Here is a 19,508-nt window from a genome sequence, read left to right as displayed (position 1 = left end):
TCATCATTGCATTGCACTCCAGCCTGAGCAAGAGTGAGACCCTGTCTCTTAACAAAAACTGATGAGAGGTTCTGAGAGTGGAAGAGACATCTTCTGGCTTATGTTTTAACAGAATTACTTTGGTTGCTGGGCTGAGAAAAGGTTTTAAGACCATATCAGAAAGGCCAGTTAGGAGGCTATTACAATAATCCAAGTACAAGATGATGGCGGCTCAGACCTGGGTCCAAGTAGAGATACAGAGATGTAGTTGGATTCTCATAGACTTTGATTTTTAATTTTTTGTTTTTTGTATTTTGTATTTTTTCCCTTTACACTTTTTTTGGATTTTTTTGGAATCATAGATTTTGAAAGTAGAGTTGGCAGAATTTGTTAATGGATTGGATAGGAGGTATGAGACAAAGCGGAGAGTCACATTACCAATTACCAAACTTTTTTTTCAAGTCAAAATTGTTTTATTGTCATTCACATATTTAATATGAAAAGAAATGCAGCAAATGGCTCAGGGTTGTATTAAGGAAAAAAAACCAGGTTGTGCAGGTTGTTCTATTAACATCTGGGAGAAGAGCTGTCCCCACATCAGACACAGCAGCTGCACGCCCCTTTGCAGACACAGCCCTGGGCACACTTGGCACAGCCCATGGGGCAGCAGGAGCAGCAGCTCTTCTTGCAGGAGGTGCATTTGCACTCTTTGCACTTGCAGGAGCCGGCGCACGTGCAGGAGCCACCAGTGGTGCAGGAGCAGTTGGGGTCCATTTCAAGCCGCGGTAAGGCTGGAGATCTCAAGCGATAATGGAGAGACAGCAAGGCGCACGTGGACGGCGTGTTCACCAATTACCAAACTTTTTGACCTGAGCAACTAGAAGAATGGAGTTGCCATTATTTGACACAAAGAAGACTGCAGGAGGGACAGGTTTGAGTAGAAATATGAAGAGCTCACCCAAGTGGATGTGGTAAGTAGGCTATTTTGATATTTGGACCTGAGTTCAGGAAGAAGGTTGAGAGTGAAGTGGGAATTTGGAGGTTTTCAGAATCAATATAATATGTAAAACCCAAGGGACTGAAGAAATTACTTAGGAAATGAGTGTAGACAGAAAAGCAAAGAGTTCCAATGACTGGATCCTGGGGCAACTCTAATACTTAGAGGTTGGGAAAATGAAGAGGAATCAGCCAAAGACACTGAGAAGGAAGAGCCAAAAAGAAGAAAACCAGGAAAGTGAGAACTCCCGGAAGCCAAGTGAATAAAATGTTTTAAGAAAGAGAGAGTAATCAACTGTGTCACACAGATCAAATAATATGAAGATGAATAGAAGGTAATTAGATTTACCAATGTGGAGGTTGTTGGTGATCTTGAGATGTTTTGGTGGAGTGTATGGGACAAAAATCTGATTGGAGTAGGTTCAAGAGGAATTGAAAATGTTGAGTATACAGGTTATAGCTTTTTCAAGAAGTTTTACTACAAAGAAGAAGGAGAAAATGTGGCAGCTGTAGTTGGTAGTGGAGTCAAAACAGACTTTTTGTTTGTTTTTAAGATGGGAAACATAACATTTGTATGTTGATTGAGACTGATCCAGGAGAGAGGGAAAAATTGATGATGCAGGAGAGAGAGGAGAACTGCTGAAGCCATGCCCTTGAGTAAGCATGTATATGAGTGAGGAGGTTGGCTATGAGCTAGGATAATTCCTCCATAATAAGAGGAAAGAACAGGACTTTTAGCAGTACAAATCTGGTACCAGTGTGGAGAAGAGCTTAAAGGGAGAACTTGCATTTGTTGGTTACTTACTTTTTGTCTAGCATTGTTAGATGCTTTCCTCACAAGAGTTCTTTTTTATTTTTACTTGTATTTTTATTTTTTTCCAATCATATTCTTTCTAATTATTTTTATTTTTTTAGAGACAGGATCTCACTCTGTCACCCAGGCTGGAGTGCACTGGCATGATCATAGCTCACTGCAACCTCAAACTCCTGGGCTCGAGCGATCCTCCCACCTCAGTCTCCTGAGTAGCTATGACTACGGGTACGTGTCATCATGCCTGACTAATTTTAATTTTTTTTTTAAAATGGAGGTCTCACTATGTTGGCCATCCATGGCCAATATAACAGCCATGTAACAGTCACCGTGCCTGACTGCAGCAGTTCTCAATGTATGAGGAAAATGGGTTGTGACACTGTTGTAATGAGGCAAGAAAAGTTAAGAACTGAACTCAAGCTGCTGAAGATCCAAGATACTGTGCTCTTTATGCTCTGCAAAACTCCCCCACCCTTGCCCCTACCCCCACCAAATTGCATTGGCCTCTCACTGCAGATGTCAGGATGCCATCCATTTGGATAGGAAGAAACTGACACATTGGCTCAACCATAGGGTAGAGTTGCTTGTTTCTTATAAAGGAAAGAAAGATTTGAGTGGTCGTAAGAATCTGCAGTACTAGGCAGCTCTTGGTGCTGGAGGGCCTTCGCCCTGAAGCCAGGCAAATTTACCCAAAAGATAAAGACATAAAAAGAAAATGCAGGAACAAGGAAGAGTGACATTCTTTATTTTTTATTTTGTTTTATTTATTTATTTATTTGAGACAGAGTTTCGCTCTTGTAGCCCAGGCTGGAGTGCAATGGTGTGATCTCGGCTCACCGCAACCCCTGCCTCCCGGGTTCAAGTGATTCTCCTGCCTCAGCCTCCCGAGTAGCTGGGATTACAGACATGCACCACCACGCCTGGCTAATTTTGTATTTTTAGTAGAGACGGGGTTTTTCCATGTTGGTCATGCTGGTCTCGAACTCCCAACCTCAAGTGATCCTCCTGCCTCGGCCTCCCAAAGTGCTGGGATTACAGGAGTGAGCCACTGCGCCCGGCCAGAGTGACATTCTTAGTAGAGATCTGAAAGGAAATATAAATGAGAGGGTGGCTGGAGAGCACAGTCCAGCTTAGGAAGTCTCCTTGACCTCTCTCCTCCTTCCTCTGAATTCCTATTTCAGCAGCTAACAGTCAATGAAAAGCAATTTACCTACATCAAATCACTTAATCCTCACCACTGTCCTGTGAAGTGGATTCTAAGGAAAGGGTGAGAGAAGTGACCTACCCCACGACACACCTAAAAAACAGCAAAACCAGGAGTAGAACCCAAGTGTCTGACACTAAATTCATGTCCTTAACCCTTGGTGCCTTTGTTCATTCATTAATTACCTCAAAAATTCTGTAAACATTACTCAGAAGCCACTCTGTGGAAGGTACTGGGGCAAGTGAGGCCGTCTTCAGGTTAAAAAAAAAAAAAAGATAAGACTTGTGCACATAAAAGGCGTGACAAATAACCACAAAACATTACACCATTCTATAGGATTTCAGAGGGGAGTGAGGTCACTCTGGCTGGGGATATCAGGGAGATCAAGGAAGGTTTCCAAAAGGAAGTAGCATTTGAGATGAGTCTATATAAACTGGTAATATTTTAAAAGCTAATAGTTTTATATGCAATATACACAGAACATTACCACACACGTGTTCAAAAGTTACAAGCAATGGAAGACTGTGTGAAGTTTTAATTGGCAGAAAATGGAGGGTAAAAGGCCGGGCGCTGTGGCTCACGCCCGTAATCCCAGCACCTTTGGGAGGCTGAGGCGGGTGGATCACTTGAGGTCAGGAGTTTGAGACCAGCCTGACCAACATGGGTGAAACCCCGTTTCTACTAAAAACACAAAAAAATTAGCCTGGCTTGGTGGCGCGTGCCTGTAATCCCAGCTACTCAGGAGGCCGAGGCAGGAGAATCTCTTGAACCCAGGAGACAGAGGTTGCAGTGAGCTGAGATGGTGCCACTGCACTTCAGCCTGGGCTACAGAGTGAGACTCCATCTCAAAAAAAAAAAAAAAAAGAAAAAGAAAATGGGAGGTAAAGGCCTGGAGGAAGGAAAAGGTCTGATTGTTCAGGATCTAGAGAAGGTCCCAGTCCAATCCCCCGACTCAGTCTCAATGTCCAGCCCCAAATGACTTGAGAGTATTTCTTACTCAGGTTTCTCCCTTAAAAGCATATTCAAACCAATGCATACAATGGGACACTATGCAGCCTTTTGTAATTTTTTTTTTTTTTTTTTGAGATGGAGTTTCGCTCTGTCGCCCAGGCTGGAGTGCAGTGGCGCGATCTCGGCTCACTGCAACCTCCACCTCCTGGGTTCAAGCAATTCTCCTGCCTCAGCCTCCCGAGTAGCTGGGATTACAGGCGCCCACCACCACGCCTAGCTAATTTTTTTGTATTTTTTTAGTAGAGGCAGGGTTTCACCGTGATAGCCAGGATGGTCTCGATCTCCTGACCTTGTGATCCACCCGCCTTGGACTCCCAAAGTGCTGGGATTACAGGCGTGAGCCACCGCGCCCGGCCCAATGCAGCCATTTTTTAAAATGAGGAAGTACTTACGAATTTATGAATAATTAGGACATTATTTCCAAAATGTAATGTTAAGTGGTAAAAAAAAGGCAAAGGTGCAGAATCCTGGATATTGTAGGCTACTATTTGTGTAATAATCGGAAAAAAGAATACATGTGTGTGCATGCACTTGCTCATTTACACATAAAATAGGGACAGATACCCAAGGAACTGATAATAGTGCTTACTTCCTGGAGGGAAGCTTAAGTGGTTTGAGGACAGGGTGGGAAGGCAATTTTTATTTTTATTTTTTAATTTTTTTTAATTATTTTATTTTATTTTTTTGAGATGGAGTCACGCTCTGTTACCCAGGCTGGAGTGCAGTGGCACAGTCTCGGCTCACCGAAACCTCTGCCTCCTGGGTTGGAGCAATTCTCTTGCCTCAGCCTCCGAAGTAGCTAGAACTACAGGCAAACACCACAAAGCCCAGCTATTTTTTATATTTTTAGTAGAGACAGTGTTTCACCATGTTGGGCAGGCTGGTCTCGAACTCCTGGCCTCATGTGATCCGCCTGCCTTGGCCTCCCAAAAGTGCTGGGATTACAGGTGGGAGCCACCATGCCTGGCTGGAAGGAGATTTTTCTCACTGTATACCTTTTTGTATCTTTTGACTTTTTAATCATGTGGATATATTATCTCTTCAAAAAATAAGTACAAGCTGAGCATTTTTTCCCTTTAATATTGTATGTTCTCCAAATGAACAAGCTGAGCTTCTAAAAAAATAAGTGTAATAGTCTCTAAAGGCCACTCCCTGAAAAGAGGGCTTATATTGCAAAATACTGGTATACAGTGAAAGCAGTAACAGTTCACTTAGGTTTCAAAAATTCAGGCCTTCATCTGCATGGCCAAAAAAAAAGCAGAAATAAAGCAACAAACTATAAACTAGGTAAAATATTTATTATTATTTTTTTAACGTAAAACAGCTGTTATAAACCAATAAGAAAAAGACCTATGACCCAATTCAATAATGGCGAAGGACTAAATGGGCTTCATGCAAACAGAAATATAAATGGACTCTTTTTTTTTTTTGAGACAGTCTCGCTCCGTTACCCAGGATGGAGTGCAGTGGCACGATCTTAACTCACTGCAACCTCTGCTTCCTTGGTTCAAGCGATTCTCATGTCTCAGCCTCCCAAGTAGCTGGGACTACAGGCACATGCCACCATACCTGACTAATTTTTTTGTGTTTTTTGTAGAGACGCGGTTTTGCCGTGTTGGCCAGGCTGATCTGGAACTCTTGGCCTCAAGTGATCCATCTGCCTCGGCCTCCCAAAGTGCTGGGATTATGGGCGTGAGCCACTGTGCCTGGCCTGAACAGACTCCTATAATAATTTTTTAAATGACCAACCATGTTTGTAATTAAAGAAAGGCAAATTAAGACAATCAGCCACTGCTTTCTTAACATTATCAGACTGCAAATACCAAAAGGTTGGATACTACAGAGTGTTAAAGAGGGCATGATAAAACAGATACTCCTCCATACTGTTGGAAGAGATACAAATTGGTTTACTCTCTTCAGGTCACCAACTGGCAATGCCTATCAACCTTGAAAATGAGCATACCTTTGACCCATCAATTCTAATTCTGAGAATTTATCCTAGATAGATATCCTTGCATAGGTGCAAACACAAAATTATTTGTAGCAAATTATTCAATTGCCTCATTCTTTGTAATTACAAAACACCAAAATCAACCTAAGTACTTTCCAGTTGGGGAAATTGCTACATCTAAACTGAGGAATACACTGGGAAGAAGTTGAAAATGGTGTGGCTGTGTATTACTGTTACGACAAGACCTTGATTTAGCCCCTTCATTATCTCTTACTTGGACCGCAGTAATAACTTCCCAGCAGGTCTCCCTGCCTTCATCTTGCCCTCTTGCAGGACCTGCTACGTAATTTGCAGGGCCCAGTGCAAAAATGAAAATGCAAGTCTCCTTGTTAAAAAAAAAATAAGAATTTCAAAATGATGACAGCAGAACATTAAAACAAGCGTGAGGGCCCTTCTAAGAGGGGGGCCCTGTGTGACTACAGAGGTCACAAGTCCATGAAGCAGGTCTTGCCCCTTGAGTGTCACTTGGACACTGGCTGCCCATGTGACATGCTGCATCCTCTGCCTGGAACATCCTTCCACTGCCATCTCTTTTTCTCTATGATGTACTACACGCCTGCCAATAAATAACTCTAATGTGACCTCCTTTGGGAAGTTTTCCCAAAGTCTTAAAAAGTTCTTACTCAAAGTCTTACAAAGTTCTTACTCAAATCACTCTTTCTTCAGTACTCCCCTAGCTCTTGCACATAGTTTTATTAACTCTTTATCACAGTGTTTGTTTTTTTTTTTCTTGAGACAGAGTTTCACTCTTGTAACCCAGGCTGGAGTGCAGTGGCATGATCTTGGCTCACTACAACCTCTGCCTCCTAGGTTCAAGCAATTCTCCTGCTCTCAGTCTCCCAAGTAGCTGGGATTACAGTTGTGAGCCACCACACCCAGCTAATTTTTTTATATTTTTAGTAGAGATGGTGTTTCACCATGTTGGCCAGGCTGGTCTCAAACTCCTGATCTCGGGTGATCCTCCTGCCTCAGCCTTCCAAAGTGCTGATATTACAGGCGTGAGCCACCACGCCCAGCCGATCACAGTGTTTTTATAATTATTTCTTTAAAAGTTTCTCTCCTAGAGTTTCTGCAGGACTTGGCCTATGGATTGTGCTTTGTTTGTTTTTTGGGTAACTCTGGCACCTCATACATTACCTAGCACATGGGAGTTGAGAGAATGAATCAGCTGGAGTGGATGTATTTGGATGGGTGTGTTAAAAAATCAGCCATATATTGCTTCACAGTTACACCTCATCTTCAGGTTGTTAAATCTGACTGGACTCTTAATTTAATAGAGGCCAGCAGGTCCTGATGACTGGTTCTTCATTCCAGGAGCCATAGAATAGTATCAGACAGTCCCTTGAAGGGGTGGGAGGTACCTGGACCTGAAAATTTTGGAGGCTCCCGCAAGCCATTTACACCTATCTCTGAATCTCCTTATACCTTTCACGCTTTTAAAATGGAGGTGCAATCTCATTAGGGCCCACTGGCCCCATCAATCAGTGCCAGGTTCCAGGAACCCAGTAGTTTCAGATTGCCCCCAGTCCTTTGCAACACTGGTTTTCAAATGGGGTATGCAATAGCCGTAAAGTAAATGAAGGCTTGGTAAGCGGTACTCATGCATGGATATATTTAAGGAAATTCATTTCCAGATCCTCAACTTCCAGATGTACTCCACCTGAGAAAGTTCCTGGGGTTGAGGCTCCAAGCCGACTTTTTCTTCATAATTGTAGTTCTGCTAGTCTTCATAAGAAAGGCCAGGCATGGTGGCTCACGCCTGTAATCCCAGCACTTTGGGAGGCAGAGGTGAGTGGATCACCTGAGGTCAGGACTTCAAGACCAGCCTGGCCAACATGGTGAAACCCTGTCTCTACTAAAAATACAAAAATTAGTCAGGCACAGTGGCACGTGCCAGTAATCGCAGCTACTGGGGAGGCTGAGGCAGGAGAATCGCTTGAACCCTGGAGGTGGAGGTTGCAGTGAGCCGAGATCACACCATTGCTCTCTAGCCTGGGCAAGAGTGAGACTCCATCTCAGAGAAAAAAAAAAAAATGGAAAAAAGAAAAGAAAGAAAGGCATATATCTGACCCACCCTGAATGATACATTGCACGGGGCAATTAAAAAAAAGTTCAGAACTGGGGACAGTTAAAAATACAAGATTCAGAAAATAGCCTTCTATTATCTTTTAAAAATATGTCTATATTTTTGTTTGTTTGTTTTGAGACAGGGTCTCGCTCTGTTGCCCAGGCTGGAGTGCAGTGGCGCAACCGTAGCTTACTGCAGCCTCAATCTCCTGAGTTCAAGTGATCCTCCCGCCTCAGCCTCCCAAGTAGCTGAGACTACAGGCGTGTGCCACCACACCCACCTAATTTTTAAAAATTTTTCATAGAGATGAGGTCATACTATATTGCCCAGGCTGGTCCTCAATTCCTAAGCTCAAACAGTTCTCCCATCTTGGCCTCCCAAAGTGTTGATATTACAGGTATGAGTCACTGCACTTGGCCTAATGTTTTTTAAAAATTTTATTTATTTATTTTCTTAGAGATAGGGTCTTGCTCTGTTGCCCAGGTAGAAGTATAGTGGCATGATTATAGCTCACTGCAGCCTTGAACTCCTGGGCTCAAGCAATTCTCCCACCTCAGCCTCCCAAATAGCTAGGACTACAGACACACACCACCACACCTGGCTAATTTTTTAATTTTTGTAGAGATGGAGTTTCTCTATGTTGCCCAGGTTGGTCTCAAACTCCTGGGGTCCAGTGATCCTCCAGACTCAGCCTCCCAAAACATTTGGATTACAGGCTTGAGCCGCTGTGCCCAGCTCACATTATTTATCAAAATTATTTTAAGTGGTATGTGAGCAAAAGACTATGAAGACCACTGGTTCAAGACCATAGGCTATGGTGGCCTTTAGGAGGTTTTCTAAGAGGTAGTGGCCTAGTCTTCTCCACCTCTAGTCCTCTGAAACTGAATCTGTTTCACTAGGCAGACCAAAAAAATCATCGTAGACCAAGAAAGTCATTGCACTTGATTTCTTTGTAATTACCACCATGGTTGACCAGTCTTCTTTTTGAAATACACTTCCCCTGACTTTGGCATCATTGCACATTCCTGATTTTCCCCTCCTTGGCCCCTTGTCCTAAGTTTTTGCTAGCTCCATCTCTTCCAGTTGACCTTTTAAATTCTGGAGTTTCTCAGGGAAGTTATAAGCCTTCTACTCTTTCTATTATTTTCTAAGAAATGTCATCCATGACCACAGTTTCAAATATAATCTGTATCCCAACAACTCCCAACTTTCTATTTCTAGCATAGACCTTGCTCCCAAACTCCTGAATCTGATTGCTTATTCCACATCTATACCTTAATGTCTCGTGGGATTCCCGAACTGCAAAAAGCCAAAGCCAAGTTCATATTCTTTCCATTCATAATGTCTTCCTCCTCTAGGCTTCCCCTGCTTAGTAACAGTGCTCTATCTGCCCAGTTGTTCATGCCAGAGACCTGGAAGGCATTCTTGATGTCTCTTTAACCTCCCCCATAGCCAACCAATAATTTATTCCTATGAATTCTACTTCATGTAAGATTTCCCTAAGCCTCCAGACCAGGCTACATACCCTTATTCTATACCCTCATATAGCACCTTGTACTTCATAGTATTTATTCAAACTGTAATTAAGTAATTATTTTGTGTAATTCTGTCTCCCCCTCTACACCATAAGCTCCATGAACACAAGGACAATACCTGCTTATTTCTGGCATATAGTAGGCTCTCAATTAATATTTGTTTATTTATTTTTTGGGGATGGAGTCTTGCTGTATCACCCAGGCTGGAGTGCAGTGGTGTGATCTCGGCTCACTACAGCCTCCGCCTCCTGGATTCAAGCAATTCTCCTGCCTCAGCCTCCCGAGTAGCTGGTATTACAGGTGCGTGCCACCATGCCCGGCTAATTTTAGTATTTTTAGAGGTGGGGTTTCACCATGTTGGCCAGGCTGGTCTTGAACTCCTGGCCTCAAGTGATCCACCTGCCTCGGCCTCCCAAAGTGCTGGGATTACAGGCGTGAGCCACCACGTCCAGCTGAATATTTGCTAAATGAACAAATGTAAGCACTATTTATAGTGTCGTAGTCTTTCCAGTGTTGTGTAGTGTTCTGCTGTGTGTTTTTGTGATTTAAAACCTATTGCTATGTTCACGGTAGGGGGCAGCAGAGTACGCGGATACTGAGAGAGTCCAGTACTCAGTATTAAAAGGGCAACTTCAGATAAATGACTTAACCTTTCTGAGACTATTTCCTTCTCTGGAAGTCAGGGTTAAGTCTCCTTCCCTTGGATCAAAAGAGATAAGCAGATGTAAAAGGGCTTCACTGCAGGACAAACAGGAGACAATGTGATTAGAGTCAGTTAAGATAAATATTTGTTGAATAAACAGACACAGAGCAAGAGGATTTTGGCTATACGACTGTGGAACAGATTGCAGTAGAGAGTTGACAGATTCCGAAGAGAGAAAATGAAAGCTCCAGGAAGAGACTGGCCTATGCCCAGAGCCAGCCTGTGAAGTCAGCACAGGATGTCCTTGGCATGCTGTCATCTCTGCTCCCTGATCATTGCCCTCCACCTCTACCTCTGGCCTCTAGTTTCCCATCGCTGTGCTGCCGGCTTTTCCTTCCCTTCTCTCCCATCAAAGCACATCTGTCCTATGTCCTGGCCACTCCCAGGCCTGCTCACTGCCATCCACAGTCACTGCTAGTTAACCCAATAAATGGATTCTCACTAAAGTGCCCAGGGCAGGTAGTGTATTATTTTACCATTCTCAATAACACGAATTGGACCTTCTTGAGACGGAATAACTTACTCAAAAATTATGTTTCAAATAATAATAAAGTTTAGGTTTTGTGGAAGGAGAGGAAATGGAAGGTTAACAGAGATGAAGACAGTCCTAACTTGACCGGGCGTGGTGGCTCACACCTGTAATCCCAGCACTTTGGGAGGCCAAGGCAGGCAGATCACCTGAGGTCAGGAGTTCGAGACCAGCCTGACCAACATGGAGAAACCCCGTCTCTACTAAAAATATGAAAATTAGCCAGGTGTGGTGGTGAGCGCCTGTAGTCTCAGCTACTCGGGAGGCTGAGGCCAGAGAATCACTTGAACTTGGGAGGCAGAGGTTGCAGTGAGCCGAGATCATACCACTGTACTCCAGCCTGGGCAACAGAGTAAGACTCCATCTCAAGAAAAAAACAAAACAAAACAGTCCTAACTAATTTCAGGCTCAAGAAAGAATAATTGTACAAATACAAAATCTGTGAGATATGACTTGATAGTAATATGAGGGGAAAAAGCTTTTAAAAATATTCATATGTGTATATATATATATATATATATACACAAACATACACATAATAGATTTGCATACATATAATTTAATTGTAATTTACATTCAGTAAAATTTACATTTTGGTGTAGAGTTCTGTGAGTTTTGACAAATGCAAAGAATTATGTAAACACCACCACACACAAACAAAAAAATAAAACAGTTAATCACCTTCCCAAATTCCCTTTTGTTACCCCTTTGTAGTCAAAGCCTTCCCTACCCTTAAGCCCTGGCAACACTGATATGTTCTCTATTCCTATAGTTTTTTCTTTTCCAGACTGTCATATAAAATGGAACCATACAATATGTTGTATTTTGAATTTGGCTTCTTTCACTTGGCATAATGGATTTAAGATTCATCCATGTTGTTGAGTGTATCAGTAGTCAATTCCTTTTCATTGCTGAGTAGTAGTGTATTGTATGGATGTACCACAGTTTGTTACTCCACTTCCCAGTTGAGGAATATTTAGGTTGTTTCTAGTTTTGGCAATTATGAATAAAGCTTCTGTAAACATTCACGTACAGGTTTTGGTATGAACATAAATTTTCATTTTACTTGGGCTAATTTCTAGGAGGGATTGTTGGAGCCTATGGTAAGTGTGTGTTTAACTTTATAAGAAACCTAGAGGGGCTGTATCATTTTGTTTTCCCACCAGTAATTTATGAGAGTGGCAGTTGTTCCGCCTTCTCACCAACAATTGGTATTGTCAGGGATTTTTTTCAATTTCAATAGGTGTATAGACATACCTTACTGTGGTTTTAATTTGCAATTCCCTACCAACAAATGATGTTGAGCATATTTTCAAATATTTATTTGCCATCCATGTATCTTCTCTGGTGAGGTGCCTGTTCAAAACTTTTGCCTTTTTAAAAAATTGTTTGTTTTCTTATTTCTGAGTTTTGAGAGTTTTTTTTTTTTTTTTTTTTTTTGAGATAGAGTCTCACACTGTTGCCCAGGCTGGACTGCAGTGACGCCATCTTGGCTTACTGCAACCTCTGCCTCCCGGGTTCAAGTGATTGTCCTGCCTCATTCTCCTGAGTAGCTGGGATTACAGGTGCCTGCCACCATGCCTGGCTAATTTTTTTGTATTTTTAGTAGAGACGAGGTTTCACTATGTTGGCCAGGCTGGTCTTGAACTCCTGACCTCGTGATCCGCCTGCCTCAGCCTCCCAAAGTGCTGGGATTACAGGCATGAGGCACTGCGCCCTACTGAGGGTTCTTTATAAATTCTAGGCCAGGCACAGTGGCTCATGCCTGTAGTCCTAGTGCTTTGGGAGGCTGAGCAGGAGGATCACTTGAGGTCAGAAGTTTGAGACCAGCCTGGGCAACATACAAAAATCCTGTCTCTACCAAAAATAAAATAAAATAAAATTTTTTAAAAATGTTAAAAAATAAATTCTGGATTCAAGTCCTTTGTTAGAAATGTGATTTGCGGTCAAGTGCAGTGGCTCACACCTGTAATCCCAGCACTTTGGGAGGCCGAGGTTGGGGGGGGGATCACCGGAGGTCATACACATATATACATATATACATGTATACATATGTATATGTATACATGTATATATGTATATGTAGATATATGTATATATGTACATATATATGTGTGTATATATACATATATATATATATATATATATATATATATATATATTTAGACAGAGTTTTGTCCTTGTTGCCCAGGCTGGAGTGCAATGGCATGATCTTGGCTCACTGCAACCTCCACCTCCCAGGTTCAAGCAATTCTCCTGCCTCAGCCTCCCGAGTAGCTGGGATTACAAGCATGCACCACCACACCCGGCTAATTTTGTATTTTTAGTGGAGACGAGGTTTCTCCACGTTGGTAAGGCTGGTCTTGAACTCTGGACCTCAGGTGATCCGCCTGCCTCGGCCTCCCAAAGTGCTGGGATTATAGGTGTGAGCCACTGCGCCCGGCCAATATATATATATATTTTTGGATTAACGAAGTTTCCTTCTCTAGTTTGCTGAGAGATTTTTTTTTTTTTATCATGAATGGGTTTTAAATTTTGTTAATGCATTTTCTTCATCAGTTAGGATTATCATGTGTTTTTTTCTTCCTTAGTCTGCCAATATGGTGAATTATGCTCATTTATTTATTATTATTATTATTATTGAGATGGAGTCTTGCTCTGTCCCCCAAGCTGGAGTACAGTGGTGCGATCTCAGCTCACTGCAACTTCCACCTCCCGGGTTCAAGCAATTCTCCTGCCTCAGCCTCCCAAGTAGCTGGGACTACTAGTGCACACCACCATACCCAGCTAATTTTTGTATTTTTAGTAGAGACGGGGTTTCACCACGTTGGCCAGGCTGGTCTCAAACTCTTGACCTCAGGTGATCTGCCCGCTTCACCCTCCCAAAGTGCTGGGATTACAGGCGTGAGCCACCATGCCTGGCTATTTTTGAATGTTACACCAGCATTAAATTACCTGGGATAAACTCCACATAGTAGTGAAGTATTATTTTTTAAAAATATATATATATTTCTGGATTCCTTTGCTAATAGTTTGTAGTTTGTTGAAGTTTTGGGGTATATGTTCATGTGAAGTATTGTTCTATAGTTTTCTTGTTATCTTTTTCAAATTTTGGCATCAGGACCATGCTGCCTTCATAAAATGAGCTAAGTTTTTTTGATTTTCTGGAAGAGTTTGTGTGGAATTGATACTATTTCTTTCTTTAACATTTGGTAGAATTTCCCAGTGAAACCATTTGGGGGCCAGGCATGGTGGCGCATGCCTGTAATCCCAGCACTTTGGGAAGCTAAGGCAGGCAGATTGCTTGAGCCAGGAGTTCGAGACCAGCCTGGGCAACATGATGAAAACCCATCTCTACTAAAAATACAAAAAAATTTGCTGGGTGTGGAAGTCTTGGCTGCAGTGAGCTGTGATTGCACCACTGTACTCCAGCCTGAATAACAGGAGTGAGTCCCTGCCACAAAGAAAAGAAAGAAAAGGAAAGAAAAGAAAAGAGAAAAGGAAAGAAAAGAGAGAAGGAAGGAAGGAAGGAGGGAGGGAGGGAGGGAAGGAGGGAGGGAGGGAGGAAGGAAGGAAAAGAAAAGAAACCTTCTGGGCCTGGAGTTTTCTTCTCTACATTGGAAGGTTTTAAACTATGAATTAAATTTTCTTTAGTACATTTAGGACTATTTCTCTGATCTGTTTCTTCTGGACTGAGTTTAGGTAATTTGTGTCTTTCAAGAAATTGGTCCATTTCCTCTAAGTTGTCAAACTTATGAGCATAGAGTTGTTTGTAATATTCTCTTATTATCCTTTTAATATCTGGAGGGTCTGAAGTGACATCCCCTCTTTCATTCCTGATATTAGTAATTTATGTCTTCTCTCTTTCTTTTCCTTGGTAAATCTGTCAAAAAGTTTATGAATTCTGTACACCTTTTCAAAGCTTTTGGTTTTATTGATTGTTCTCTATTTTTTTCTGTTTTCAATTTCATTGAATTCTGCTTTTCTAATTTCTTTTTCTTCTGCTTGATTTAGGTTTAATTTGTTCTTTCTCTAGTTTCTTAAGGTAGAAGCTTAGAGTATGATTTGAGGCCTTTCTTTTTTCTATCATAGGCATGTAAAGCTATAAATGTTCCTGTACACGCTGCATTAGCTGCAACCCATAAATTTTGATATGTTTTGTTTTGATGTTCAGTCAGTTCAAATATTTTCTGATTTACTTTAAGATTTTTTCTCTGACCCATGGATTATTTAGAAGTATATTAACAATTTCTAAATATTTGAGAGTTCTCTTTTTTTTCTTTTTTTTCTTTTTTTTTGAGACAGAGTCTTGTTCTGTTACCCAGGCTGGAGTGCAGTGGTGCGATCTCAGCTCACTGCAACCTCCACCTCCTGGATTCAAGCAATTCTCCTGCCTCAGCCTCCTGAATAGCTGAGATTACAGGCGCGCACTATCACGCCCAAGAGTTCGTCTAAAAAGAAAAACAATAATAAATAAAAGTTATGTTTATACTATATTATAGTCTAATAAATGTGCAATAACATTATGTCTAATAACATTAGACATTGCATACAATGTTATGCAATGACATTTTGTATTTTTAGTAGAGACAGGGTTTTGCCATGTTGGTCAGGCTGGGGGAGTTTTCTATTATTGATTTCTTATTTAATTTTGGTATAGCCAGAGAACACCATTTATGTGGATGATCTCGGCTCACCACAACCTCTGCCTCCTGGGTTCAAGCGGTTCTCCTGCCTCAGCCTCCCGAGTAGCTGGGATTACAGGCATGTGCCACCATGCACGGCTAGTTTTGTATTTTTAGTGGAGATGGGGTTTCACCATGTTGGTCAGGCTGGTCTTGAACTCCCGACCTGAGGTGATCCACTGCCTCAGCCTCCTAAAGTGCTGGGATTACAAGTGTGAGCCACCACGCCCGGCCTTGTGTGGTTTTAATTTATTAAAAATTGTTAAAGTTTACTTTATGACCCAGAATATGATCTATCTGGGTATATGTTCTGTGGGCACTTGGAAAGAATATGTATTCTGTTGCTCTTGAGTAGAGTGTTTTATAAATGTCCGTTATATTAAACCAGTTGATAATGTTATCCAGGTTTTATATATCCTTTTTGATTTCCATCTATTTGTTTATCAGTTATTGAGAACAGAGTTATTGAAGTCTCCCAGTTATGACTGTGGATTTTTCCATGTCTCTTTTAGTTCTATCAATTTTTGCTTCATTTATTTTGGATCTTTGTTAGTTGCATACTATATTTCAGTGTTTATCTTCTTGGTGAATTGACCCTTTTATCATTATGTAACTTCCCTATATTTATATCTTTATATTTAAAATAGATTTCCTTAAACCATAAGACATTTGAGAAGTAAAAATAAAATAAAATAGCTTTCTTGCTGATAGCATATAGTCGGGTCTTGTTTTTTTCTTTTTCCAATCCGATAATCTTTGTCTTTTTTTTTTTTTTGGAAATGGAATCTTGCTCTACCACCTGGACTGGAATGCAATGACGTGATCTCAGCTCACTGCAGCCTCCACCTCCCAGGTTCAAGCAATTCTCCTGCCTCAGCCTCCCGAGTAGCTGGGATTATAGGCACCCGCCACGATGCCCAGCTAATTTTTGTATTGTTAGTAGAGACGGGGTTTCACCATGTTGGTTAGGCTGGGGGAGTTTTCTATTATTTATTTCTTGTTTAATTTTGGTATAGCCAGAGAACATGCTTTATGTGGTTTTATTAAAAATTGTTAGTTTATTTTATGACCCAGAATATGATCTATCTGGGTATATGTTCTGTGGGCACTTGGAAAGAATATGTATTCTGTTGTTCTTGGGTAGAGTGTTTTTTGTAAATGTCCATTATATTAAACCAGTTGATAACGTTATCCAGGTTTGATATATCCTTTTTGATTTCCATCTATTTGTTTATCAGTCATTGAGAATGGACTTATTGAGTCTCCCAGTTATGACTGTGGATTTTTCCATATCTCTTTTAGTTCTATCAATTTTTGCTTCATTTATTTTGGATCTTTGTTAGTTGCATATTATATTTCAGTGTTTATCTTCTTGGTGAATTGACCCTTTTATCATTATGTAATTTCCCTATATTTATATCTTTATATTTAAAATAGGTTTCCTTAACATTTGAGAAGTAAAAATAAAATAAAATGTAATAGCATATAGTTGGGTCTTGTTTTTTTCTTTTTCCAATCTGATGATCTTTGTCTTTTTTTTTTGAAATGGAATCTTGCTCTGCCGCCCAGGCTGGAATGCAATGGCATGATCTCAGTGCACTGCAACCTCCGCCTCCCAGGTTCAAGCGATTCTCATGCCTCAGCCTCCCGAGTAGCTGGGATTACAGGCATGCACCACCTTGCCCGGCTAATTTTTGTATTTTTAGTAGAGGTGGGGTTTCACCATGTTGGCCAGGCTGGTCTTGAACTCCTGACCTCAGGTGATCAGCCCACCTCGGCCTCCCAAAGTGCTGGGATTGCAGGCGTGAGCCACCGCACCCAGCCATCTTTGTCTTTTAATTGGTGTGTTTAGACCATTTACATTTTTAAAGACCATTTACATTTAATGTAGTTATTGATAAGAGTGGATTTTGGTCTACAATTTGTTATTTTTCTGCTTGTCTCCTCCATTTTTTTGCCTCTCAATGTCCCCTTTCCTGTTATATTTTGGATTATTTGAATATGTTTTATATTCCAATTTAATATATTGGTTGTCTATATCTTTTGTGGTTTTTTTTTTTTAGCTGTTGATCTAGGGATAATAATACACATACCTAATTTTAACAGTCAACTTAAAATCAATGTTTTAACACTTCAAGTAAAACACTGACATCTCACAACTACAGGCATACCTTGGAAATATTGCAGGTTCAGTTCTAGACCACTTCAGTAAAGTGAATATTGCAACAAAGTGAATCACACAAGGTTTTTGGTTTCCCAGTGCATATATAAGTTATGTTTAAGGCCGGGTGCAGTGGCTCACACCTGTAATCTTAGCAATTTGTGAGGCCGAGGCAGGTGGATCACCTGAGGTTGGGAGTTCGAGACCAACTTGGCCAACATGGTGAAACCCCGTCTCTACTAAAAATACAAAAATTAGCCGGGCATGGTGGCAACATGCCTGTAATCCCTGCTACCAAAGTGGCTTAGGCAGGAGAATCGCTGGAACCCAGGAGGTGCATATTGCAGTGAGCCAAGATTGCTACTGCACTCCAGCTTGGGCGACAGAGCAAAGAGTTCGTCTAAAAAGAAAAACAATAATAAATAAAAGTTGTGTTTATACTATATTATAGTCTAATAAATGTGCAATAACATTATGTCTAATTACATTAGACATTGCATACAGTGTTATGCAATGACATTTTGTCTAAAATGTAAATACCTTAGTTAAAAAGTACTTTGTTGCTTAAAAATCTGAACAATCATCAGAGCCTTCGGTGAGTCATAGTCTTTTCTCTGGTGGAGGTTCTTGCCTCAGTGTTCATGATTACTGACTAATAAGGGTGGTGGTTGCTGAAGATTGGAGTGGCTGTGGCAATTTCTTAAAATAAGACAACAATAAAGTTTGCATATCAATTGACTCTTCCTTCCACAAAATATTTCTCTGTAGCATGTGATGGTGTTTGATAGCATTTTACCCACAGTAGAACTTCTTTCAAAATTGGAGTCAATCCTCTCAATTCTGGCTGCTTCTTTATCAACTAAGTTTATGTAATATTCTAAATCCTTTGTTGTCATTTCAACAGTGTTTACAGTATCTTCAACAGGAGTAGATTCTATCTTGACAAACCACTTTCTTTGTTTATCCAGAAGAAGCAACTCCTCATTAATTAAAGTCTTATCATGAGATTACAGAATTCAGCCACATTTGCAGGCTTCACTTTTAATTCTAGTTATCTTGCTATTTCCACTACATCAGCAGTTCCTTCCTCCACTGAAGACTTGAACCTCTCAAAGTCATTCATGAGGGTTGGAATCAACTTCTTCCAAATTTCTGTTAATGTTGATATTTTTAACCTCCTCCCATGAATCACAACTGTTCTTAATGACATTTAGAATGGTGAATCATTTCCAGAAGGCTTTTTGTTTACTTTGCCCAGATCATCCAGAGAAATCACTATCTATGGCAGCTCTAGCCTATGAAATGTTTTTTTTTTTTTTTTGAGACACAGTCTCACTATGTTGCCCAGGCTGGAGTGCAGTGGCATGATCTTGGCTCACTGCAACCTCTGACTCGCAGGTTCAAGCGATTCTCCTGCTCAGCCTCCCAAGTAGCTGGGACTACAGGCGCCCACCACCATGCCCGGCCAATTTCTGCATTTTTATTAGAGACAGGGTTTCACTATGCTGGCCAGGCTGCTCTTGAACTCCCGACCCTGTGATCCGCCCACCTCGGCCTCTCAAAGTGCTGGGATTACAGGCGTGAGCCACTGCACCTGGCCTGTATTTCTTAAATAAGACTTGAAAATCGAAGTTACTCCTTGATCCATGGACTGCAGAATGAATGATGTGTTAGCAAGCATGAAAACAACCTGAATCTCCTTGTACATCTCCATCAGGGCTCTTGGGTGACCACGTGCATTGCCAATGAGTAGTAATATTTTGAGAGGAATCTTTTTTCCTGAGCAGTAGGTCTCAACAGTAGGCTTAAAATATC

General features: G+C 41.2%; 2 protein-coding genes and 1 pseudogene across 2 annotated transcripts in view, besides 1 other annotated feature; 1 reads left to right on the top strand and 2 right to left on the bottom strand.

The window, feature by feature from the left end:
- MMP24-AS1-EDEM2 (MMP24-AS1-EDEM2 readthrough) overlaps positions 1-19,508 on the top strand; it is a 162,759-nt gene that overhangs the window by 59,361 nt on the left and 83,890 nt on the right. The window contains exon 4 of the mRNA NM_001355008.2: positions 701-950. The gene's annotated coding sequence lies outside the window, so the exon portion shown is untranslated. The remainder of the gene's footprint in view (positions 1-700; positions 951-19,508) is intronic.
- MT1P3 (metallothionein 1 pseudogene 3) lies at positions 577-753 on the bottom strand (annotated as a pseudogene).
- Positions 2,203-2,702: an enhancer, noted in NCBI's record as "H3K4me1 hESC enhancer chr20:33803863-33804362 (GRCh37/hg19 assembly coordinates)". NCBI's record gives its function as "activates a minimal SCP1, AML or CMV promoter by ChIP-STARR-seq in naive H9 embryonic stem cells {active_cell/tissue: H9 hESC(naive)}" and the evidence as "EXISTENCE:reporter gene assay evidence [ECO:0000049][PMID:30033119]".
- PROCR (protein C receptor) overlaps positions 2,503-19,508 on the bottom strand; it is a 45,164-nt gene continuing 28,158 nt past the window's right edge. The window contains exon 5 of the mRNA XM_011528496.2: positions 2,503-2,869. Coding sequence (XP_011526798.2) covers positions 2,859-2,869 — 11 coding nt within the window. The 3' untranslated portion in view covers positions 2,503-2,858. The remainder of the gene's footprint in view (positions 2,870-19,508) is intronic.

Source organism: Homo sapiens, chromosome 20 (assembly GCF_000001405.40).
Source record: "Homo sapiens chromosome 20, GRCh38.p14 Primary Assembly".
NCBI lineage: Eukaryota > Metazoa > Chordata > Mammalia > Primates > Hominidae > Homo > Homo sapiens.
This window is presented reverse-complemented; position numbering and strand designations above follow the sequence as displayed.